At 36.6% G+C, this 26,496-nt stretch overlaps 1 long non-coding RNA gene across 1 annotated transcript, besides 1 other annotated feature; it reads left to right on the top strand.

Annotated features, from left to right (window-relative positions):
* The first annotated feature begins 797 nt into the window (after nt 1-797).
* On the top strand, nt 798-26,496 carry LOC124902328 (uncharacterized). Its single transcript, XR_007061902.1, has 3 exons — nt 798-880; nt 20,958-21,034; nt 26,405-26,496. It is a non-coding gene; the product is annotated as an uncharacterized LOC124902328 (long non-coding RNA).
* Nucleotides 2,249-2,298: a silencer, noted in NCBI's record as "silent region_19968". NCBI's record gives its function as "represses an Ori minimal core promoter by ATAC-STARR-seq in GM12878 lymphoblastoid cells {active_cell/tissue: GM12878}" and the evidence as "EXISTENCE:reporter gene assay evidence [ECO:0000049][PMID:35858748]".

Genomic DNA, 26,496 nt, shown 5'->3' with positions numbered 1-26,496 from the left:
TTTGCGTAACAATTTTAACTGCTTGAAGAGTTTTGCTACCTTTCTTTTGTTTGTTTTGCATGTTGTAACAAAGCTTCTTGGAAAGTTAGAGCATGATTTGTATCTAACTGCAACACTCCAAACAATTTCCATTGTAAGTATCTAAGGGCCTTTCTCAAGTCAGGTGTGAGGCAGAAACTTGTCAGTTTCATTCCATCAAAAGCTACCAAACAGGCAACAATGTTGATGGCAGTACACACGTGGAAAGTATTTGCCGTGACTAAGAGTTTTGAAGAAACAATCTTCATGCCCTTGTAGATAAAGTCGTGAGAGTACAGTGACTTCCAGGGTCAGCAGTAAAGCTGAAGGTAATTCTTGCTGCGTATGGTACCAATGATGAACAGAAAGACTGAAATGTGTCAGGTCAGATTTCTGAATCACCATTTAAAGAGCTTTGCATATGGGGCTGGGGATAAAATATTCCATTAGAGAGGTTCCACTCATAGAGCATGTGTACTTTTTATTCTTTCACCCGAACAAAATTTAAATATCAGACAAAGCTGGTAAGATAAACACACACACACACACACACACACACACACACACACACACACACACAGCAACTTAGTACTTCTTTTGTGACTATCCTCACAAAGAATGCTACGGAAATCTGAAACAGAAGTGGGTAGGCCCAATATAATTTTATGAGACTTGCAGTCTGTCTCTCAGCAACCATGCCACCCATTTCCTTCATCCTATATCAGCAATGCAGTATTTGATTGAAAAATTACCCCAGTTTCCCATAGACGGGTCGTTTTCTCCATGGAAAGCAAATCAGAATGGCATGCAAAGAAGACAGGCTCAGGTAGTCCAATACCTGATTCTTTCAAATCAAAAAAGGGTAAGTGCACATACCCTTAAGCCTGTGCACTCGGGCTGGTGCATTTTTGCATGTCTGTATAACTGCCTCCTTTTCACATTTCTGATTCCATAGCCTTCATGTTGCTTAAATGTTGAAACCAAATGGGAACATTTTGAGAAATGCCGGAAAGCAAAGTTAGGGGTAGTGATGCCGAGTCTGAAAGAGTGGTTGAAGAAAAGCAATGAGACGTTTAATAACTTGTAAATTCTAGTAATTGGATTTTTTAATGAACAGAAATATATTTATTTCCAGAAAGTACTTTTCAGTATGTTCTGGGGGTAGATTTGTTTCAATCAAGGCTTGAACCCTGGATAATGAAATGTTGGTAAATGTATAACTGGTTCTTTGGAAAAAAAACGCATATGCAATTTAAACATACTTGTTATACCTTACCCAAGACATACAATGAATACACCAACCAAACAGCAGTTAATGCCACTGAGAGTTTTTATGAGTGTATATAGTACAGTGGCAGGAAAACCCCGCTAAAGGGAGGTATAGAACAGAAGACTTAAGATAATGGATTTGCAAAGTCAGAAAACCCTGCAGTGGAATCCTAGGGCCAAAATCATTTACTGAACTTTTCTGAGACTTAGTGTTCTGGTAGGTAAAATTAAATAGTACTTCCCTTACACACAAGGCAGAGGCAAAGCAACAAATGAAGCCTTGGTTTGTAGCATTTGTTATTTCCATGATACAAATACTCCCATTGTGGCTGATTTCAGTCTACCAACATGACAACACTGAATGCAGAGTTGTGAAATTCCATAGCATTTCCCCCATCCAGATATGATAGACACGAATAACCAAGGGTGTAAAAAATTGCATGACGGGGTAGAATATTTAGGAAGTGATGAGTTTTGAGTATTTACCATCTTTTTAAAAATATAATTTATTTAATTAAAAGGTTATATATTTTGATTTTAAATAATGGTGGCGTTTAAGAACCAGCTCATAGAATTCCTGAAAAATTGACATTGGATTCCATGGGCCTGGAACAGGCTCTCCACTGGTTCTGGTCAAATGCAAGTCTGCTTTTTGCTAAGGAATCTGGTGTCCATAGGAGCATCGTTTCTGGCTGCTCAGAAATTAGGCTTGGTAGGCCTGGTTCACATGTGTTAATGCTTATACAATTAGCTTCTTCAGTTTAGAGACAACAATCCCTGTAATTCTCTCAGGCTGACTTAAAATTCAAGGTCTGCCAAACCCTGCCCAGATGCCAACAGCCAATAATTTATGATGGGATTAGGAATGAGAGTGAAGAAAAGTTACTTGTTAATTATGATTGTGAAGACCACACACACTATGAAAAGAAACACTCTGTACAAATGAAAGGATTCCCCGTTAGCCCCACTTGGTGATACACAAGTCAGTGGGCCTTTCGTCTGCTCTCTGCAGCTCCACCTAGGGGTTTCCCACTTGCCTTTTTCTAACCGAAAGCCCATCAGTGAAATGTCTTATCAAAACCCCCAGCAAACTGCAGAGTCCCTGGGAAAACTAGCAGTTGACAAAGGCATTACAGTACCGTGTCATGCAGGCTGTTAAAGAAATCCAGCCCTGGTGATAATGTGTATATTCATTCTGTGTAAATGATTAAGTTCAAAAAACCATACAGTGAATCATGGTAGCAAGGCCAGACTTGCTTTGATTAACTACACTGGTATAATGAAACCCAACAGAGCAATCACTGAAACATTTAGCTCCAAATGTAAATCTTCCTGAACTCTGAAAAAAAATCATGTTAGGCAATGAGAGGTGGTGTATAATACAGCCATATTTCACATAATGAAAGTTGTGGCAGTTGTAAAGAAAAGGGAATGTTAAAAAGTTGTTATGCTGTGTTTGGCAAGAATGAGTCATTTTAAAAGTGTCAATCATGATAATTCAACATATTTTTAATCTAAAGGTCAATAGAAGCAGTTTCTAAGGTGGTACAATAGTGATGCCAAATATGAAAGCAAGCAGTTATAAGATGATTTCAAGTGTTAATACTGTATCATAATGTGTCTCAGTTCTAAATTGAAGAGCATGGATTGATCAAGGTGAAAGAATTTTTATTAAAAATGTACCGAAATGGCAAGCAACATGGTCATCTCAATCAAACTGCTCTGTGGAGTTCTTCTATTCAGACGTGGTTTGGTGAAGACAGTGTGGTGTCTTGTACAGTACAGGACTACAGGACGGTGTGGTGCTGCTGTGGTACAGTAGTTATTTTGGGGAAGATGGTTGGGGAGGGCTTAGGTCTTCATCTGCTAGTGGCAACATCTACAGAATAGAAACTCTTTCCTTACAATAACCTACAAGTCATTTTCTCAAAAGCAAGAGAAACATATGCCAATGAGACATAAAGTCAGTGTTCTGTGATGGAATGGCCAGCCCTTCATGAATACACAGAACTGTTTGCATTCCTGAATATTTTCACTTTTGTCCTTGGACAGCTTTTGAATATACCTCAAATATGCTTGGGTCATGTTGTATACACTTAAGTATTAGAAATATTCCATGAGAGAAAAGTAAAATTATGCTCTGCCTTTAAAGTTTATGGGAACATGTGGTCTTCCTTACAGGGAAAGCAATTGCTACCTCGGCAGTATTGGACTTTCATCTCATGGGTTTCGTGCATACAGGTTAAACATATGAGAAGTTTTATAAGGCTATAGAAATTGTGGCAGAGAAAACAATCTATAAGAGGTCTGAGAGACATAAAAACCACCGGACACATTCAGTTTCAGGACAAAGCTCTCTCCAAAGTTATTAGATTTCATAATTCAATCTGTGTTATTGTGGGGGAACTTGGGTCCAACCACTGCTGTAGATTATAGTAATAATTCTACATAGACACATTCGCATTACACAATAACTCTCCTGGAACTGGTTGCAGACTAGCACAAGCATATTGTCTTCTGTTAATCCTCATAAACCTAACCAATAGTTTGTTTCTGTTATTTTATCACACACATTAAAACCACTTTTATATTTAAAAATGCCTAGCACAAGCCTATGATTTATCTATATGTGACTCTTTCTGGTAATGTCTCAAGAGCATATTCTATTTAATTTAAATATATATGGATCTTTAAGTGTGTTTCCAGAAGGCTTTTGGTGATATAGTCAAAGAAAACAGAAGAAATCAAAGATGAAGAAACCACTCTATCACATTCTTTCCTTTCCCATGAAGAGAAAATGATTGCACAGAGGTTCTTATAAATGCCTTAGGAGACAGACATTTGGACCTTCTGATATTTCTTGCTACTCGTCTTTTCCTGTCGCTTCTTTCCTCTCTAAATTCTTAAAACATGCCATGTATCTTCAAAGTGTGGGTCTCACAACCATTATTCCAAGTATCTAAACAGGTCTATTGTATAGTTTACCTACCAGTGCATTGTACAGTAATGGTGTGGACACACAATTTATTCTGTTGCATTCTGTTGTTTTTTATTTTTAATTTTTTCTCAATACAAAAGTAACACATGCTGATATTAGAAACACTGGAAAAATCAGATAAGTAAAGAAGAAAATTAAAATGCTACATAAGTTCACCTCACAGAGAAAACCACTGTTGAAATTTTGCTGTATATTTTTCTGGTGTTTTAAATATATAACATATATACACATGTTAAAAATTACATTTGGGGTCATATTGTGCGGGGTGCCCAGAAAGTCCGTAAACATAGGTGAAAATGATATTATCTATGTTAATATTATTAATATTATAAGAATTGCTGACATTAGCAAGGATATATTAATATTATTTCATATTATTTATTCGTCTTACAGATTGGAGATGTCTTTGATGGCATTATATGTAATTCGCCTATGTTTCCAGACTTTCATGAACACACTGTAGATGAGCAGTATATATATATACACACACACACATACATATATATACACACACATATATATATATATATTTTTTTTTTTGAGACAGGGTATGGCTTTGTCACCCAAGCTGGAGTGCAGTGGTGTGATCTTGGCTCACTGTAACCTCCACCTCCCGGGCTCAAGTGATCCTTCCACTTCTGCTTGCCGAATAGCTGGGACCACAAGTGTGTCCTATTATGTTGGCTTTTTTCTATTTTTTTGTAGAGACAGGGTTTCGCCATGTTATCCAGGCTGGTCTTGACCTCTGGGCTCAAGCAATCTGCCTGCCTCAACCTCCCAAAGGGTTAGGATTAAGGTGTGAGCCACTGCACCTGGCCGGTGTATATATATTTCTTGACCTTTTTTTTTTCACCATAGCAGGTTCCAATCCTGACTTGACCATTCATTTAAGGTCTTCAAATGGGCAGTGGTCACAAATGTAGAAATATTCCCACTTGCCGTGCCAGAAAAGAAACAGTTTACAGATATCCTAGCTTGTTTTTCCAAAAGGTCAATTCACAAGCTCTCTGCAGATTTATCAGTTTCAAGCTCAATGACCACAACATTTGGCAAAAGTCCAACAACTGGAGACATTTAAAAGTAGCATATTTTCTGAAATCGCTTACCTTTCCCAAACACACTCCTTGTAGAAAAATTAGAAAGGGTAGAGGGTAAGAAGGTAGGGAAAAAAGTGCCAGCTGCGGCCTTAGCTGTCTGTTACATAGTCCAAATATGGACAGGGAGAGACCAATTCTTAGACAGGGCTTCAGTTATATTGACCTTCACAAAACAAGTCTCCCCTGTCATGCCAATGAAGTTATTGAAATTGAAATTTATTCTAGGCCTTTATGAAACAGCTGCAGGACAAGGCCGGTCTCCATCATCTTCTGGGGAAAGCCTTCACTTTCATGGAGCTAAACTCCATTGATCAGGGCAATTACAGACTTAGAGGATAAATGCTTCAGAGCCACATCTTTTCTAAAGGTTTTCCTTTCCAGAAATTTCTTTTTTTAAAAAAAGTTATTAATTTCCAAGTGGCTGTGGTTATAGTCATGATCTTTGTGCAATGTTTCCATTTGACCTGACTCATAAGCATTACAAATTGGATATTGAGAAAAAGCCTTAGCATCAAATGGATTCAAATGTTTGGTGCTATTCTAATTGTCAGGTGTGCATTTTATATGGCAATTTCATCACTGCTGAAGAGACATATATGTTTCGTTAGAATATGAGCCTGTTCCTGAGAGGTGAAGCCAGCTGGACTTCCTGGGTCGAGTGGGGACCTGGAGAACTTTTCTGTCTTACAAGAGGTTTGTAAAATGCACCAATCAGTGCTCTGTAAAAATGCGCCAATCAGTGCTCTGCAGCTAGCTAGAGGTTTGTAAAATGGACGAATCAGCACCCTGTAAAATGGACCAATCAGCACTCTGTAAAATGGACCAATCAGCCGGACATGGGCGGGGACAAATAACAGAATAAAAGCTGGCCACCTCAGCCAGCAGCAGGAACCGCTCAGGTCCCCTTCCACGTTGTGGACGCTGTGTTCTTTCGCTCTTCACAATAAATCTTGCTGCTGCTCACTCTTTGGGTCCTTGCCATCTTTAAGAGCTGTAACACTCACCCTGAAGGTCCGTGGCTCCATTCTTGAAGTCAGCAAGACCACAAACCCATGGGAAGGAATCAACTCCGGACACATTCCCGTCTATTGTTCTGGAGCCAAAACCTTAAAACAATGAAAATTGAAGTATCCTGACTATAGGCTGATTGTTTGAAATATGAACAAAATGCAAACATGACCTTGGCCCTTGCAGTACTGAAAAAGGAATTTTTTAAAGTGTTTCGAAGTCACACATATAAGAACTCTGTTTTATTTGCATGGCTTTGAACTATATATAATATTTTTGAACAGTCTCTCAATTTATATCCTTTGATGGGTAAGTCAGTTTTCTCCCACCACATTTTATGGACACATATATTTTTGTGAAAACAGGGAGTATGGATGTCCTTTTGTAAAGGAAAAAAAATGTGAGCACCTCAGGCAAGACCTTTTCCCAGCCTAGTGATTTGAGAAAGGGCAACAGGAAACTGAGGCAGTAGACGGCTAGGGTCATATCTGTTTGCTGCCTCTCTATCTTCAGAGCTTTATTGGACAGACTGACAAGTTTGGTTTGTCCTTTAAGAGAAAGGGGAGGCTGGATTAAAATCAAAAGTCCTCTGGTAGAGGAAAGGTACCCTGCATCAGAGGCCAGTAAAAGAGAGAATGAAGAAAAGGAAGCACATTCTGTAAGACTGACCAGCAACCTCAAGGTGCTTGAGTCAAACCTAGAGAAATATTGGATTGCACTGGGTTTTAAACAGGAGTAGTCTCCCCTTGCTACTCATGATGGCCATAGCAGCTTTAGGAAGTAAAGGATTTGCATTTTCTCTTCACATCTGTTTGGTGTGAATACACTCAAAACTTCAGTATACTCTCTTTCAGTGAAGCAGAGGAGAACTTTTCCACTTCCTCCAGAAAGTCTGTCTTCCTTTGCTCTTCTTATTCTCAGTACCTAAAATGTCATCCTCTCTTCCTCCATTTATTGTCCAGCTTTTTTTCCTTTTATCAATATTAGTTTCTTTTTTGAATATCCTCCAACCCACTCACTCCTGTCATTATTTTCAGCATGCAGAATTCCCTCATTTGGATTCTCTTTAAAGTTATTTTATTGTATTATTATTTTTTAATTTTACTTTAAGTTCTGGGATACATGTGCAGAATGTGCAGGTTTTTTACATAGGTATACATGTGCCATGGTGGTTTGCTGCACCTATCAACCCGTCATCTAGGCTTTAAGCCCTGCATGCATTAGGTATTTGTCCTAATGCTCTCCCTCCCCTTATCCCCCCACCCCCCGGAAAGGCCCCGGTGTGTGATGATTCCCTCCCCGTGTCCATGTATTCTCATTGTTCAACTCCTATCTAGCATGCAATTTATCAGTTAGCATTGAGATGTTCTTCTAGAGATGTTCTCCCCAGGCTATTGAGTGATGCCCTGACAGTAGGAACCTGAGAGACTTCTTCCCATCAGCAGAGGACCAAGAGGAAAGCAGATTCTCTATAAACCCACACACAAACCAATGGTGAAAGATGGCTCTTAGAGAAGTTATCCATAGTTTGCTTCTTATAGTTTATATTTATTGGTGCAAATGTCCTTCTTCGTCTCTCACAACGTGATAGCTAAGAAAACATAGCTTAATCAATAGCTTTCAAACCAAAGAATATGGGAACAATCTGACAGAATAGGACCTGCATTGTTTCTTCTGACTCTGAACACGTGTCCTGTGGTCAAAGGAATGAAGAGGGTGTTATAGAGCCCAGTAAATAAAAATCTCTGATATGCTTTAATAATCACAAAGCTTTATTTTAGCTACTTAAGTCCCTTATCAATTTTTTTAAAAAATGCATCTTAGCCTTCCTGTTGATTTGATCAATGAGAAAAGAAGAAGGAGGAGAAAAGGAATAAATAGTAACTTATTATGATTCAGGAGGATTATATATACATTATGATATTTAAGCCTCAGGACAATCTGAGAAGTAAGTCTCATTATCTCCTATCACAGAGAACTAAACAGGATCATAGAAGTTAAGTAACTCAAAATCACACAGAGAATGAAAGAAGGAATTGGCAGTAGAACACAGGTCTCCTAATGTCTGGGCCAATTTTCCTTCCACTGGACAGTGTTTCCTAAGATTAGAAGATTTGTAATTGTGACTTGGTTATGTAGCCTTTAAATATAAAGGCCTCATATCCTCTTCTGACAGATACCTGAAGAAACTGCTTCTGTGGGTTGCAAAGCCACTGAAGTACATCAAACAAAAATGAGTTGGTAGCGAGTACTCTTTGCTTTCGAGAACACATCTATACACCTTCCTTCTTGCTCTGGTGACAGTTTTCATCTCCAGCACATTTCACAGATTTGATCACTTACTTGAATCTGTTGCATAAGAGATCACACACACAAAAAAGCTCCCTATTATTCCCAAAGACCATAAATTTGTTGTGGTGAAAGCCTGCATAGCAAAGCAGATGGCCTCTCAGCAGACAGTGAGGTGAGTGTTAGCTTCAGTTTCCCTGGAGAAGGGAGGTTGCACATAGGGTTATATTTTATGCAGGGGGAGGTAAAGGGGAGAGTAACCCTGTCTCCATCAGGAGAATGAGTGAGCCCTTGAATCTCACTGGGTGATCTAAATAGAAGCCAGGCTCTGAAGTTGACAGTATAAACTGGAACACAAGTATGGTACAACTAGTGCCAGATTTTCTTTTTATAGTTTTAAAATTTTGGACAAAAATATAGATGTAGCAAACAGGCTACACTGAGCCCAAAAGGGCTGGCATCCTCCCAAGGGGGCATGAACATTTCACTGTAGTGAGTCTAACAGAGACATCTACTGGCTGAGCCCTGGACTTCCAGTGCAGGCTCTGTTGGCCCTTGTGATTGACTAATGCTCTCCATCTCTGACAAGCTTGTAAATAAATGAAAATAATAATAATAATTACATTTGTTCATACAGAATGACTAATTGCACACTTAGCATGTGTGCAAATAAGCAAATATTCACAGAGGTCCAGGTAGATAGGGTGGGTAAAGAATCACCCATTCACATGTTTATTTTTAAAAATGTCTTTACTACGTCTGACCAAGGAATGGTAAAGGCATCTTAGTTCTCCTATCTAAAAGAAGTCAGGAGTTCAAATTCAACCAAAGAACATCATGAATTACCATTTTTTTGACCACTAGATTAAAAGAATTGCGATATAGATAAAAAATATTAATTCCAGCATGATAAATCCTGTGATAAACTCAGAAGTGCCCCATTGGTAGAATATTTTCATATAAAGTACCAATTTATGGGGCAAATTTAAGGCACTGATGGATCTGTATTGGGGGAGGAACAGTTCCCATGAGCAGAACCCACCAGATAATCCTGTCTTCTGGCATCTGTGCTATGTGTCTGCTCCCTTGCTGCCTCTGGCGGGATTAGGTAACTATCTGCAACATTAGGACTGGGCCCCTATTAATCAGCATGAACAAACTTCCTGCTCTTAACTGGGAGGAATCATGAATTGGAGGACTAAATATAGGCAAACAAATCCAATAACGAAACCCTCATAGCCTAGACATAAGCAAATATAAATCCCTCTTGTGTTATTATAATGCCTACCAACCTAATTGAGAACACATTCATTTTAAGCTAAATAAATTACTGCTACAATTATGTAACCTTGAGGTCACCTCCTTTAGGAGACGGCCAACACTTGTATTAACTATTCCACGCTTTACTGTAAGTGGCCTCAGCCAATCAATGCCAGATAAATGCTGTTAAAATATGCATTTAATTAACCCAGTCCTTCATTTATTTGCTATTTTAGCCTAGGGATGAAGAAAGTGAAGTTAAATTGTGTGCATTCTGAAACAAGACTTCAGAATGGAGAGCTTTTTCTTTCTAGTCAAGGCACTCTCTTCCTTATTAATCTGGGGAAGAGAGAGCATTCCTCAGACTTTAACAGAATAGTACATCCATCTGAAGAATGGGTCTTTGCCTCTGATATTTATAGCCCCACACTCAAGGAACCAACTCCTTCCCTCTTCCTTAGAGAGATGGATTTCCTCAGAGAAATGTCTTTTGCACTGATGGTTTGATCCCTCTCTGGCTGTGAACAATTATTGCAGTACCTTTACAGTCACATGGATCCAGTGGCAATTATATTACTAATTGATGGATTCGTGAATTACTTTATTGTTTCAAGGCACAGAGCTGATTTTGGTTGTGTGTTGAAGTATTCTCTTTTCTTTCTTCCAATGTTATGCAAACAATCCTAGCAGTACCTACCTAGTAGGTTATATGTCTTTCACCAATACTTTTCTTTTGGATTTGATCCTGCTGTTGTAGGCACATTATTATTCACTGAATATCCATCTGCTCGCTCACATATCCCAGCTATGTTCGTTGAAACCAGGTGGCACTGGGCTGCGAACAGAAGTGATGTGTGTTACTTCAGGCTGAAGCATTCAAGAGCTGATGCACAACCTTCTACCTCTCTTTGTTCCATAGTGATCCTGAAAGTTGAAATGGCCAAGGTATAAAATGAAAGCAGCACAGCTTGTGGAGTCCCCATATAGAGGAGAGCTGCTTTGAAGGGGCATTCTGTCTTACACTGCTTTTTGCATGAGCAAGAAAGCTTTGTTTTATTAAACCACTGAGATTTCAAGGTTTGTTTATCATAACATAATCTAGCCTGTGTTGACAAATATAATTGGCTTCCATGGTAAAAACAAATCTATATTCTATAGCACTAAGTAACCACCTAAACTGTAGTAATTTGGATCTAATTTGCATGAATATTAATTCTTTTAAACAAGAAAGGAAAATTATGATATTCCCACAGCCTCCATACCTTCAGAATAAGCCATTTGTTCATTAATTTTTAATGAGAAACATTCATTATTATGAATTCTTCGACAAGACTTTGATTTTCTTTTTGGTAAGTGATGACCATAATTAAGCTCCTCATAATGAACACAGCAATTTTTAAACAGCACAATTTATATAATGTTTCTCCTCTGGGAGACTTAGTTTTCTCAATAAAAAGCAACAGTAGATATATGACTAAGTTTTCATAGTGCATGAGGATTTGTAGTTATTATTACATTCACCTCTGTTTTCATTGATTCATTCATCCATTGACACTTATCTTTTCTGCACTTCTTGCAGAACTGAGTTTTACTCAGTCAAAGAGTGAATTTTAAAAAAGGAAACTTTAAATATTGTACATTACAGGATGTTGGGTTACTGGCAATATAACATTTCCTCCCCAAAGGGCTTTCCTGTTATGACTGGCTTAATGGCTTCATTTATCCACGTAGTTCAAAATCTTTTAAAGTCTATCATTCACTTCTATAACACATAAATGTAGTCACATACACAATAAAGTCAATCATTAGTTAAAATACTAAAAATATTTTTCAGCAGCATTTGGTATCGGAGAAAAGGATACCAATAGAAAACTCTGTCTTATCTATTTGCACCACTAGGAAGCATTAATGGGTTGTATCTCACCCCCGATCACAATAGGAAATATTTGCTGGATAATGGTGGCCCACACAAAATAACTTTTCTGTAGTTCCCAACCATAATACTTTAGAAACTATTAGCACCTCTGCCTCACTCATCTCATCTGTAGTAAAGGCAAATAGGAACAGACAAATTTGAAGGTAAAGAGGCCCAAACTGGGCGGGATCCAGTTGACATTAACACATTGTCCCTTTTTCATACTACCAAGTCTCGCAGTTCAGATGTCAAACAGCGTTCTGAATCCCGGCACATTTTTACAAAGTCATTGTTTTCATTCACTGTTTTCTACAGGTAATGTTGGTCCCTTCTAAGAACTTTTACTACTTGAATCTTTCACTGCTCTGCATTTTAATATTACAATCCTTCTTCTACTCACCCTATCTATATTCTCGATGCCTCTAAGCCTACTCTGTTTTTACTCAGAACACTTTCCACTCTAAAAAATACTATATACTTATTATATTAATATTGGTAGATATTGTCACTACCACACTAGAATATAGGTTCCCAAAGGGCAATGATTTTCTTATACCTTTGGTTAATAATATAAATGCTGGCACATAGACAGCATGCACTAAATATTTTTCAGTGAATAAATGAACAAATAAATGAATGAAAATTTCCCTGGTCCAATAAAACATTCTGATACTTATTTTCCTGATATTCTCTTTTATTCATCAAAAATCTACTTTGCCTCTGGTCATCTTATTCCTGAATCTCATTCATTCTTCAACTGATCCTGGCAGCTTGTCACTTGGTTGACTTGCTTCACAATTCTCCAACTTTTCTACTTTATTTCTTGGACCCTGACCAGTGTCTTTTTTTTTTTCTGGCATGATGTCTTTCTGGACAGAAGATCTAGGTAATTTCCTGTGTGTGTTCCCATGGGCAGTGCTAACCAGAAATGATGAGGTTCTATAGATGGATTTTGGTGACCATTATACATTCAATTTAATTTAAATTATTTAAAATCTAATTATAACTGGATTTTAGGAGATATTTTGGTTAAAAATACACACACAGTGTGATTTAGGCAAGAAGAAAATAAAATCATCCATAACTCCACTATGAGAGAAATCCGTAGTTATTATTTTAAATAGCATTATTTATTATTCCTCTTTGAACTGACTTCTTAAGTTAAAACTTCTTAAGTTAGAAAGATTTCAAGCAAAGCTTATAAATGAATACAACAAGGAAAGAGATGAAAATAGGATGCTTAGAATTAGAAAAAAGAGAGCATTTTGTAAATGAAGGGGGCACTTCATCTATAAAATGAGTTCTCTGACCTCAAGTCACTATTCTTTTTTTTCTTTCTTTTTCTTCTTTTTGAGACGGAGTCTCGCTCTGTCGCCCAGGCTGGAGTGCAGTGGCGCGATCTTGGGTCACTGCAAGCTCCGCCTCCCGGGTTCACACCATTCTCCTGCCTCAGCCTCCCGCGTAGCTGGGACTACAGGCTCCTGCCACCACGCCCAGCTAATTGTTTGTATTTTTAGTAGAGACGGGGTTTCACCGTGTTAACCAGGATGGTCTCTATCTCCTGACCTCATGAGCCGCCCGTCTCGGCCTCCCAAAGTGCTGGGATTACAGGCGTGAGCCACTACGCCCGGCCCTCAAGTCACTATTAGACAAGCTGAACTTACAGAATACAGAGCTCATGTCTATGAAAGGAGCTTTGTGTAGAAACAGTTTCAGGGAAAGTTACGATCTCAAAGGAGAATATCACCCAAATCAATTGCACTGTTCAGTGGTGTTAGGATGACCAACTCTCCCAGTTTGCCCACGACTGAGGGGTTTCTTGGGTTGCTGGTCTTTCGGTGCTAAAACAGAGATAGTCCCAAGCAAACTGGTACAAGTTGGTCACATGAGCAGTATCTCAAACTGCTTGGGCATCCGGGGGGGAAGAAAAGCCCCAAACCCTACACATCCTTGTTTTCCGTATGTAAGGCTTGTCTTAAATAATTATTTAGTATTTGGCCAATAAAAGTGCTATTACGAAATTCTTCATGATAGAAATTTTAAAATAAAATAAACTCCGACACAGTGATGGTAAAAGAGGGACCATTCCTCAAAACTAAATCAAAAGCTAAAGTGGGCCCAAGCTGATGTTAAGAGTACAGAAGCATCTTCATTTCATTCAATTGCAGGAAATCAGTCCTTATCAATGTCTTTGCATCTGCCAGGCAGAGTCAGCAATAAGAGAAGAATGTAATTCAAGTGATTTGGATTAACCGACAGGCAGGAAAAACCCCCTTTCTTCCAGATCCTGACAGGAACGGAATGGTTTGCTGTGGCATCCAAAGCAGGCCTCAGACTGAGTCAATCTTGAGTCAATTAAAATAATAAGGATTGGACATTTTCTACCGAAATTGTATAAGGCAACTATCTGTCCCTGGGTGGTGTGTCTAAGATGAAGGCAGTGGAAATAGGAAATTTTGAGTATTCAGGATGTTTCCCTCTTTGTTTATGTTTACTAATGTTCATCAAGAAAGTGATTTTCAGAATGTTTTACGCATGAAACCAAATTAAGAGCAACTAAGGAAACACAAAGCTAAAAAAAAATAAAATCTCCCAGCTTTTGAGAGAAAAAGATAGAAGTAAAAATTGGAATTTAAATTGAGAAGAGATTTTTCCAGAAGTCAAATTTTTTGGGTTAGAAGAAAAGAAGGTTAAGTTATGATAGCACTGTCATGACTGAAAGCTTCATGAGAAGTATGAAGTATTTGAGGTACTCTAAAAAGTAACTTTTTGTTCCATATTACCAAGGTACTTTTAAGGAAATGCATACTTGCCTGTTGCGTTAAGGAAGTAGCAAACAAGTCTGCCTTCCACAGAAGATTTTACTACTGCAAAAATGTTCTTGAGCTGTTACCATTATACTAGTAACTCACAATCATTCAAATACTAACAGAAACTTAAACACAATAAAATGCTAAAATCAAACAGATTACTTACTTTTCCCCTCAGGTAATTATAACTCATTTGAATATCACTTTTGAATTTAGTCTCTCAATCATTCTGTGATTTAAGTGTTTATATTATTCCTATTTTACATGCAATGAAACTGAGGTCGAGGGTATTTGTAGTTTACTCAAGCTTTCACTGCTATGAAGTTCAAGGGCTACATTTGCACTTAGGTCTTTTGGGTTTAGATGTTAACTATTGACATAAAACAAGCTCTCAGTTTAATCTTATAATATTTTGACTATTAAGGAGACAGCACCAATTTCAAGATTATCTCTGGCTCACGCCTGTAATCCCACTTTGGAAGGCTGAGGCAGGTGGATCACCCGAGGTCAGGAGTTTGAGACCAGCCTGACCAATATGGTGAAACCTCGTCTCTACTAAAAATACAAAAATTAGCTGGGCATGGTGGCATGCACCTGTAATCCCAGCTACCCAGGAGGCTGAGACAGGAGAATTGGTTGAATCCGGAGGTGGAAATTGCAGTGAGTCAAGATCATGCCACTGCATTCCATCCTGGGTAACAAAGCAAGACTCTGTCTCAAAAAAAAAAAAATATTATCTCTGCATTACATTAGTAGGCATAGAAGTTTCTGGTCACTCACTTCAGCAACTGCAGTGGCCAGAGACTTATTACTTCCTTCATGTTGACATAGTCATGAAACCTCAGGGGTTCTAGCTGAAAACTCAATGCCAGATGGCTGTAGAGTAAAGACTCCTGAAGACTCTGCTACTGTCAAGTCACCCCAACAGAAATGTCCTCAATGCTGATAAAGATGGAGATAACACATGCAGACCATCTGTTCCAGCCACATGGCTTTTAACAAGGAAAACCTCTTAGGCTATAATGAATGAAGACTAGCTACAGGCAAAGGAACATCTAGGATACATTCTTATTTGTCTGTTGATCATTAGCTAATTGTTGATGGAGATAATTAAGACAGGTCTCCAAAAGTTGTCCCATAGTTCAGCTACTAGATACTATTACTGAACATGTAGGAACATGTTGAATGACGTGAAATTAATGTTGTTGGCAAAATTGCTAAATTACTTCAAGAAAGTCCAAATAAGCTTCACCATAATTTTTTTACCAGAATTTATTACTCTACTTTTTCTCAATATATTTGAGGTCACTTTTAGCAAAAGACAAGGTGAGTAAAGTTAGATTAGAAAGTCAAAAGATAAACATGATCAAAATTGATCACTACCTATAGAACATGTATTGCAACCAACTGATACAGAACTGTGATTGTAATAGGGGAAATTTTAAATCAAATTAGGGGCATTTCAAGCATTTGAATGTGTTACATAATCAAGAAACTGATTAATAATATTACACCAGAAAGTCCAAAATCACTTCCTTTGGCTTTGATAGTGATGCATAAAACCGGTACATGACCTCTTCCCATGGGTTTCATCATGACCTTGCAATCATACTTGGGATCCTGGAAACCTGGTTTCCAAGAAAACGTGTAAAGTAATGAAAATTTTTACCTGAAGGTGCTTGCTTGGAAACACACCTCACTGAGAGATGATTGTGGGGGGCACCATTGATGTTCACTTGCTGATGCATTTTGGCAAGGTCAGGAATGCTAAGGCTAGAGGGTTCTTGTACTTTGCTTTAAAATAGAATAAGAGCTCTTCAGTATATGGCTTCAAAAAAGGGATCAATTCTTTAACAAGCTTTACAACCATCATGTAAACAAGGAATCTATTCAAGTTTAGGTTGGAGGCCATTTAATCATTTAGCACTGGTATTTCTAAGTAGATTTTCATTCCCTGCTGTTGTCCAACTTTTTAAATAATAAGATATGTTGGGGCATCAATAATCTGGTATAAAACAAGCAGGTATTCCATAGAAGTTATTTGCAGAGACTCAAACATTTCAAATTACCACAATATCAATGCTAGGACCTTTTAGAGCAGAAGTTCCCAAACTTTTTCAGTTCATGGTGACCCCGGGGCAAAATATATACCTAACAATTGTCTATTAAATGCTTACGTCCAAACAAGTCAATGTATATTTACATTCTAACAACTTTAGTAGCCATGTGAAAAAATAATACATACATATAGAAAAAAATACTATTGTTATTTTATTATTAAATAACCACAGCTATTTACTAATAGGATATGCATATCTGTTGCATACTGCATAACTTCTCAAACCTTGGACTCAAACTAGGCAATGCTACCCTCATTTCTTGGTCTACATTAAATTTTGCATAGTACTTGATTTATATTACAACAACCTCTGAATACCCAGCTACACAAAAATATGGTGTCATCTAGTAAATGTAGTGTTAGTTAATGTTGAAACTACCAACTCCCTGGAGCTAGTAGTTTGTGTGGCATCCACGTTTCCTGCAACCAAGTACTGCAGTGTCCCCTCAATGATTTGAAATATTCCATGGTGCCCTCCTCTGAGTTCACTGTAGCACACTCAGGTAGCTTTTGATTGATAGGTGGGGAGCAGCAGTTATAAACAGTTGTAACTATACCTTTGAGCAATAACAATAATAATATTACTGAGATGTTGCACTCAAGAGACTGACCGAATTAAAAGCAAAAGCCACTTTGAGCATATTCTTATAAGTCACAACTCATCTGGAATAGAAAGAGAATGTGAGCATTGTGGTCAACATTGCTTGTGAACATTGGGAATTTTTGTTGTTCTTCTCAATGAAAGAGAAGGAAGTATGAAAGAGTTATGTTTGTCAGTGGCTAGGCAAGCCTGGCTTTCTGGAAGGCTGGGTGCAGAATGCAGTAGAGATGGATTAGAAGTTTTAGAATGAGAAGGCATCATCTAAATATTCTGAAAACTAAAGAGGAAGCTCTAATAGTGAATGCTTTCTCCCATTATTGATTTCTTTGTATTTTGCCTCAATCTCTTTAGAAAGGTATTCTGCATAAGTAATTATGGTTAATCACACATCTTAAGAAAACTGTCCTTTTAGACATGCAATTCACATGAATCCCACCATAGCCCTTCTCACAATTTTGCAGCTTTCTGAACAAATGATTCAGTAGCCATGCATATTAGTGTTAAAGACCAAAACCAGAAAAAATGAATTGCTGAAATCTAGACATTCAGAGAAGTCGTATACTAATGATACCTCATTTCTACATTTCATTCTGTTCACATTTGCTAAAGAACTTTGGAACAAGCAATCAATTGATGAAAATAAGACCTCAGCAATGATTAACACATAAGTTGTTTTTTCATTTTTTAAAAAAGTTTCATACCAATACGTTTTTCAAGAGAATTTACTGGTTCACTGAGATATGTAAGAAGTCAGTGTATTGTGATGTGAAGGAATTTACCTTTTTGCACTGGTTGAACTGCAAATTAACTACATGGTCTTAGGTTAAAGCCACTTTGCCTCCCTGCGCCTCACTCCTGCATGTACGACAGTGGCTAGATGTCTCTAAGGCCCTTGAGTTGCAACACTGAATACCCTATGAACTTTTTTGCACAAGTGGATTTTTGCTGTCTTCTGAACAGCGTAAGTATTCTTGACCCAATCAGTCAAATAGTCGAATTAAAGAAAGAAGATACTACTGCTGAAGTTTTTTTTATTTAAAAAATTGTAAAATTGTAGTCAAAAACACATAACATGAAATTGGCCATTTTAACCATTTCAAATCATATGGTTCAGTAGTGTTAAGTATATTCACATTGTTATGCAACCAATCTTCAGAACTTTTCCATCTTGCAAAACTGAAACTTTACATCCATTAAACAGTAACTCCCCATTCCCCTGTCTCCTCATTCCCTGGCAACCACCTTTCTGCTTCCTTTTTCTATTAGTTTGACTAGTCTTGATACTTCATACAAGTGGAATCATATAGTATTTGTCTTTTTGTAATTGGCTTATTTTACTTAGCATAATGTCTTCAAGGTTGATGTAAGTTGTAGCATGCGTCACAATTTCCATTTTTTTAAGGCTGAATAATGTTTTTGCAGGTACACACCACATTTAATTTATCCATTTATCCATTGGTGGACACGTGGGCTGCTTCTGCCTCTTGACTATTGTGAATAGTATTGCTATGAACATGGGTGAGTTTTAAAAGAGAGGAATGCATATTTATTTTCCTCGGGCCCCAAGAACATCACAGTACTGTCAATAATCTTCTGATTTCATCTAGAGAGTTTCCAGAAGTAAGGGAAGTAGGTCACCAGGGTGCTTAAAATCCATTCTGGTAGACCCATAGGACGATTATTTGAAATATTATTTCCAGATGTGTCTTAGGGCTAAAATGTGTTTCCTTCTGTTTTATTACCAGTCATTACAGGAAACAACAGGCAAAGAGAAAAACAAAGTTTTGTCTTCCAAAATGCTTTCACTATCAGGACAGTTTTTTTGAGAACCTGAATCTCCATAGGCATGTTTTAGTTCTAATTAGTTACAGCTCTAAACCTTTTTGAGAAAAGTCTCATGGGGATTTAAAAATTTTAGCCCCATGTATTAGTATAGCTGTCCCACTTCAAAAGTGTTATACCAAAGAATATTAATGTCCTTGAAAAATTTATATGTCTAAGTCAAGCCAGATCATTTTTTAAGCAATAGGCTCAGACCTTTTCAAGGAAAAGTTGTTTTTTGTCTTTTTATTTTTTAATGAAAGAAGATCACTCTTTAAACCAGATTAAAACTCCTACTTTTAGTTCAATCACTAATTAAAGTAGCATGCGTATCTTTGACTTCAGATGCAGCAAAGCATTGCCTGATAACTGAAGTCACTTCTGTGCTTCCAATATTTGCATTTTGTTTGTTTGTGTTGTACATTCTGCTACTCAAGTACTTTCTTTTCTAAGCAGGCTATATAAAGCTCATGTTGCGTGCAGCTAGAAAATCTTTTAATGAAGAAAGGCTTGCAACATTACTGACAATATTTTTATCTTATCTACATATAAAATTTTGTGGTAAATGTCATCAGGGGAATCCATTCCAAATTAGATGTTCAGTTTGGAATAGAAAAAACAAGTTCTACTTAAATAGGAAAATAAGTTGCTCACAATCCATAATTCCTGTCTTTCTGTATCTGTGATGAATACAGGTGTAGAGGTTTCGTGCATGCATTTCTCTAGGTAGAACTCCATATTGAAGGCCTTTAGGTTATCATTGTCCATAAAAATGCAATGTAAGCCATATATGTCATTTTAATTTTTCTAGTAGCCACATTAAATAATAAAACAGTGAAATTAATTTTAATAATATATTTTATTAATCCAATATATAAAAATCTTATTTCAAGATATAATTAATATAAAACTATTAATAAGGTATTTTACCTTTCTTAGTATTAAGTTTTCAAGATACCGTGTACGTGTTTCACTTAATAATCCATCTCAGTTTGGGCCAGCCATATTTCAAGTCTCAATAGCCACGTGTGGCTAGTGGCTACCATATTGGACAGTACATGCAGATTTAGATGACCACTTTCATTTCAACTGTTCTGCCTTATATACATTTATATTTATATGTACAATTTATGTTATCATTTATATTTATACATGCATTTCTAGATGTTTTAAACTTTTAAAAAGCCCGATATTCAGACACCCCTGAGTATCTATCATACCAAAAGTTTCCTTATTTCACAAAGAAATCCATCACAAGTTTTCTTTGCAGAGTGAGAGCTTCTGGTTTATTTCAAATAATTTAGTTTATAGAAATATAATATTCAAATGATTCTTAAGGAGTAACACACAAACTATGTAAACCAAAAAAACACTTGTATATCTTTACAATAAAGGAATCTAATTGGAATGGCAACCTTAGTCCTCCTGGGTAATAAAGAAGAGGTGAAGATTGAGTCAGGATAACTTCCCATCTGGAATATCTATTTATTGTGGTTCTCTCTTCGCCGTGAGAGGATAATTGCTTTCTGTTACTCAGATATTTACATGGCACTTGTTTTATTTAGGTCAGTTTAGAGAGTTTCTATGTCCAAAGTATAAAGGATGTAAACATCCTCCTTTTGATTTCAGGATTAAATACACATGCACAGAGTAGGTTAAACGTGAACAACAACATAAACGTATACTTTTTATCTCTTTGTAGAGAGTATAACAGAATATTAAAATCTGAATCTCATATATTTTCAATTTTAGCTTCCTCAATGTGACAGAGGAGGTAAGACTAAGAATCACTGAATGACTTACAGATCATCAAACATCTAGCCTACGCAGTAAGTAGTCTCCATTGTTTCTTTTTGATAGAAATAGTATTTCCTCTTCCCTGCTTTGTTCTTTTTCCCATGCCCTGTCTTTCTCTTGCTTCCAGGTGTAGCTTCCACTGGACAGTAATCATATCAACCTGGATAGTTTTAAGCTTGGTGAATCCTCAGCTTAAGTCTCATGGCAACTCCTCATTTGGCTTGTCATAATTGGCAAGTTTTGATGTCTTCCAAGCCATCTTAAAAACATTCTAATTTTTCTACTCCTATTACTACTGGATATACTGTGGGAATATTAAATAACCAACAAGCATAAATAGTGGGACTTTGTTGGTCAGGTGGGGAGGGGAATGCAAAGGAAAGGAGTTCACCAAAGAGACAAACAAAATGCTTGGAACATTGAAGAAAGCAGAGTCTGGTGCCAGTGGGCCGTTGTAACCATGAGTTTGTATCGGTGAGTGCTGACACAATAGTCTGAAAAGTTGAGAAGGGCCAGTTTGTGAATGGTCTTGACTGCTGGGTTTGCTATTGAGTTTGCTCTCTATATAGGCAGTGGCAAACCAACTACTGATCTGTATGTGTAGGTGTGCACATGTGTGCATGAACAAGGGTGTGTTTTAAGCAGGATGGTGACACGTTTAGGCAGTGATCTAGATATATAATTGTGTTAACAGACTTAATATAGCAGAAGGGTTTGAATTAGGAAGGCCAGAAGAGAAATGGTTGCAGCAGGGCATAGGAGAGCTAATTTGGATACTAATTGGTTATAATAATATCTAACATGGATTGAGAGCTGTATGCATTTTCTCATTTAAATCTCACCATAGTCATACAAGGAAAGTTTTGTTATTAGTCCCATTTTACAATTGAATTTGGAGTTCAGGGAAGTTAAAGTAACTTCTTTAAGGATAAGCAACTGATTCATATCATTGGCATTCAAATATTCTATTAAAATCATGTATCAAATGAGTGAAAAAGTTTTGAGTATCCTTCTTAAATACAGGCACCCTAATTTATAAATTTTTATATTCATTACTGTCTATCCACATACTAAATATTAATAAAACTTATTATTTTAGTGCAGCCCAATGGGTGATTTGGTGTAGCTGCTGGGTTAAACGCACCCTGCTCTGGAGACTACTGGTCTACATAATTGAATTGGAATACCTTTAGACATTGCATAAATCTTAAGTTGACAATAAACCCCATGCAGATCTTCTTCTATGTACAACGGGGTTATGTTTCAATAAACCCATTGTAAGTTGGAGATATCATTAAGTAAAAAATGCATTTAATATGCCTAACATACCGAACATCACAGCTGAGCCTAGCCTACCTTAATCATGCTCAGGGCTGGGCACGGTGGCTTACACCTGTAATCCCAGCACTTTGGGAAGCTGAGGCAGGTGGATCACCTGACGTCAGGAGTTGGCAACCAGCCTGGCCAATGTGGTGAAACCCTGTCTCTACTAAAAATACAAAAAATTAGCTGGTGTGGTGGCAGGCACCTGTAATCCCAGCTACTCAGGAGGCTGAGGCAGGAGAATCCCTTGAACCCGGGAGGTGGAGGTTGCAGTGAGCTGAGATTGTGCCATTGCACTACTCCGGCCTGGGCAGCAAGGGCAAAACTCCATCTCAAAACAAACAAACAAACAAAACACCATGCTCAGGACACTTACGTTTACCTACAATTGGGCAAAATCACCTAACACAAAGCCTACCTTATAATAAAATGTTGAATATCTCATGTAATTTATTAAATACTGTACTGAAAGTGAAAAACAGAATGGTTGTATGGGTGTTCACAAAGTACAATTTACTGAATGTGTATCACTTTTGTACTGTGTTAAGTTGCAAACTCCTGAGTCGAATCATCATAAGTTGGGGACCATATGTATCTCTGAGACCTGGCTGCTTTGTAAATTGATGTTAACTTTTTGGCTCCTGAAGGCATCTGAGTTTGAAACTCCATATTAAACTTCACTGTCAGGCTAAGCAAGACTTTTACTACTTGCATACCTTCATGTGATCCCTATTTGTATTTGTTTTGTTTGTTTTTTGAGTTGCTTTCATATATCAGTGACGTAGAAATGTTTTTAAGTGGTTGCGCTTAGAGTTTCTCCTAGTGATCCTTTAGTTCATCCCACCGACACTACAAATGAAAACGAGGAGAGGAATATAACAAAAAAGCGATTCAAGTTGAAGGTAGAGCTTGTTAGAGATTCATAATTAGAACTCAGATTTCCGAAGCTCACTGTTTTCCTTTCAGACACACAGGCTACCTTGATGGTGGCTTAGTAGGCAAATATTTTGAGCATCCAGAAAGCATTTTATATGCTTGTTAATGTGATATGTGATTGGCTGTAGATTTATTTAGTAAATTTTATATTATTATGATAATTATTTAGGATAGTGATTTTAAACTCTGGTTCCTTAGAATCATTTGTGAAACCTTTTTAAAAATACTAAAGTCCAGGCCCTCACTTGCAGAGGTTCTTTTTGTATCATTCTGGGATGTGCAATCAGGAATTCATACTTTAAAAAAGCTACTCAGATGATTATAAAGTACAACGAGGGTTCTGAGCTTCGATTAAGACCTATCCTGATATAATACCTGCCTTGGAGCAACGAGGAGACACATATGACTATAAATATCAGGCCTAAAATTGTTGTGAAATTATCTTTGAGCCGTGTCATGTAGATAAAAGAAATAAGATAGAGAGAATTTGAGAACTCAAAAGACTGACTTAATACACACATATATAATCTTGGACTTGTAACCAAAGAAAACACATTTAGTTTGGAAATGACTATGGAATATGTAAAAATTGTTATATTCTAGGCTTTCAAAACAACAAAAATATAAACCACTTAGTAACAAATCCAAGAAAAACTATGTGGAACCATTAATGAAGACAACCAAAAAATGTGTCTGATGAATATTAAAGATGAGTCTAATAAAAGGAACATTTTATGTTCCTGAAGAGAAATGTTCAATATTTCCCAAGTCACCAACTGTTCCCAGTTAATTTTAAGACCGTAATTTCAATTAAAATAAAAAATTGTCAAATTTTAAAGTTTATGTAGAGAAATGTGTAGGCAAGAAGATAAAAAAATTAGATATACAAGAAAAGAATTGCACTGCAATTGTTAAAAAGTACTACGTAGTTAAAACAGTGGGTATTGGTGCAAGAATGGACATGCTTTGGAGAGCAGAATATATATTAGACACAACATTTATACATAAGAATATTGTGTCTTTAAAAGTCACTATTTCATATCAGAAAAGAAATAAAGGATATTTAATATCAATTCTTAGGAAATTGGTTAACAGTTTGAAAAAATTTGTATCTGTACATTGTAGATGTATAGATACATACAATTTGAAAAAATATATCTATTTTATATATATACATCTACATTGCATGTTATGCCAAAATAAGTTGCAGACATATTAGAGAGTTAATGCAGAAAATGGAATTACTAGACAATTAGAAAATGCAGTATTGACAATCTTATATTAGTAAATATTTGAAATACAAAAGAAAAGAAAGTAGAAAATAATTTTGACTACATAAAATATAAAAACTTCTGTATGCCCAAAACATACCATAAATGAAATTAAGAAACAATAGGCACACTATGACGAACTTTTGCGACCAGATGTCGGAGGATATATAAAGAGTTTTATGAATCAATGAATCAAAGACAAGTATCTAACAGGAAAATGGGTAATGAACAATAAATCTGCAATTCTCAAATAAGAGATACAAATAGGTGGGCAAAAACTCCAGAATATACGAAGAATATGTACCTCAGTGGTAATCAATTTAGTAAAAAAAAAAAATGTAAAACAAACAGCTAGACATTATGTCTACAAAATGTTCAAATGTTTAAAATACATAAAATGTTTATTGTTGGGAGGGTGGAGTTAAGTGTTAGGGCATTATTATAATCCCCTGTGATTGAGAGGATTAATTAGTACATCCTCTTGAAGGGCAAGAGGATTCTACCATTAGTCCACACTCTATCTGCACTCACATTAGTGAGTGATTTAAAAAATTAAGCAGCTGATTTTAAAAATTAAGCAACATGATTTAAAAAATTAAGACTTTTTTGATTCAGAAATAATACTTCTAGGAATCTATCTTAAAGAAGGAAGATTCCTATCAGAGATGAGGAAAATTATACATATTTTGTGTGGTACATACACCTCCATGGAATACTATGAAGCCACAAAAAGAATGAGATCATGTTCTTTGCAGGAGCATGGATGGAGCTGGAGGTCATTATCCTTAGCAAACCAAGGCAGGAACAGAAAAACAAATACCACATGTTCTTACTTATAAGTGGGAGCTAAATGATGAGAACACATGGACACATAGAAGGGAACAACACACACTGGGGCCTATTGGAGGATGGAAGGTGGGTGGAGGGAGAGGATCAGGAAAAATAACTAATAGGTACTAGGCTTAATACCTGGGTGATGAAATAACCTGTACAACAAACTCCCATGACACAAGTTTACCTATATAGCTAACCTGCACGTGTACCCCTAAACTTAAAATAAAAGTTAAAGTTAAAAAATTGTATATTTTTTTTAAATTTTGTTCATCACAATACTATTTCTAATACCAAACATAAGGAAAACCTAATGCCCTCCAAATTAAGGAACAGTTGCATAAATCTTGGTAAGCCATGGTAAAAAAGTAATTTTCAGAAATGTAAAATTAAGAATCTCATGCAAATACATGACCGCATATTAAAGATTTTATTCTACTTATTAATTAATGAGGAAATCTGTAAGATGATAAGACTGGCTCAAAGAGCATTTGAGGAGTATTCATTAACAATTTAATAAATGAATATTAGTATAATAATGTTGGTTCAGTTATAAAACCAGCTTATATCCTAAAGGGCAATAAACCCTAAACTTTGGAGTTATGTTCCCCTTGGAAAGAAAATATTTACATCTCAGAAAAAATTCCACAGGTTAACATTTAGCTTTACTAATTCTGGAATCTTTATTAAATAGTAAAAGGTAAGTTGAATACATTTTATCTTTATAGACAATCTTATGGGGGGCTTTTGCCAGATTTAACATAGAAAGGGCTCAGCTTTTTGCCATATTTACGTTCTGTATATTTTTTCTTAACAAGCCACATGTGGAATGCAAGCAATCATTAAAATTTGTAGCACAGATAAGTAGGTATATATGGAAAAATGTTCACAATATTTTGTTAAATGGGAAAAAAGCAGATCAATAAAGGATTACATATTTTGATCTTAGTTGTAAAAACAATGGGTAAAATTTGTAAAATATGCACATAAAAACATAAATCATATTTATCAGAATATTAATAGTGCACCTTCTGGTTTTAGCTCTGATATGTAAAGAGCTTGGAAGTCATCCCTCCCATTCTTACAAGAAGAAATAGTTGAACAAACTGACCCAATTGAGAACTGAAGTTGCC

Source organism: Homo sapiens, chromosome 9, assembly GCF_000001405.40.
Source record: "Homo sapiens chromosome 9, GRCh38.p14 Primary Assembly".
Classification (NCBI taxonomy): domain Eukaryota; kingdom Metazoa; phylum Chordata; class Mammalia; order Primates; family Hominidae; genus Homo; species Homo sapiens.
This window is presented reverse-complemented; position numbering and strand designations above follow the sequence as displayed.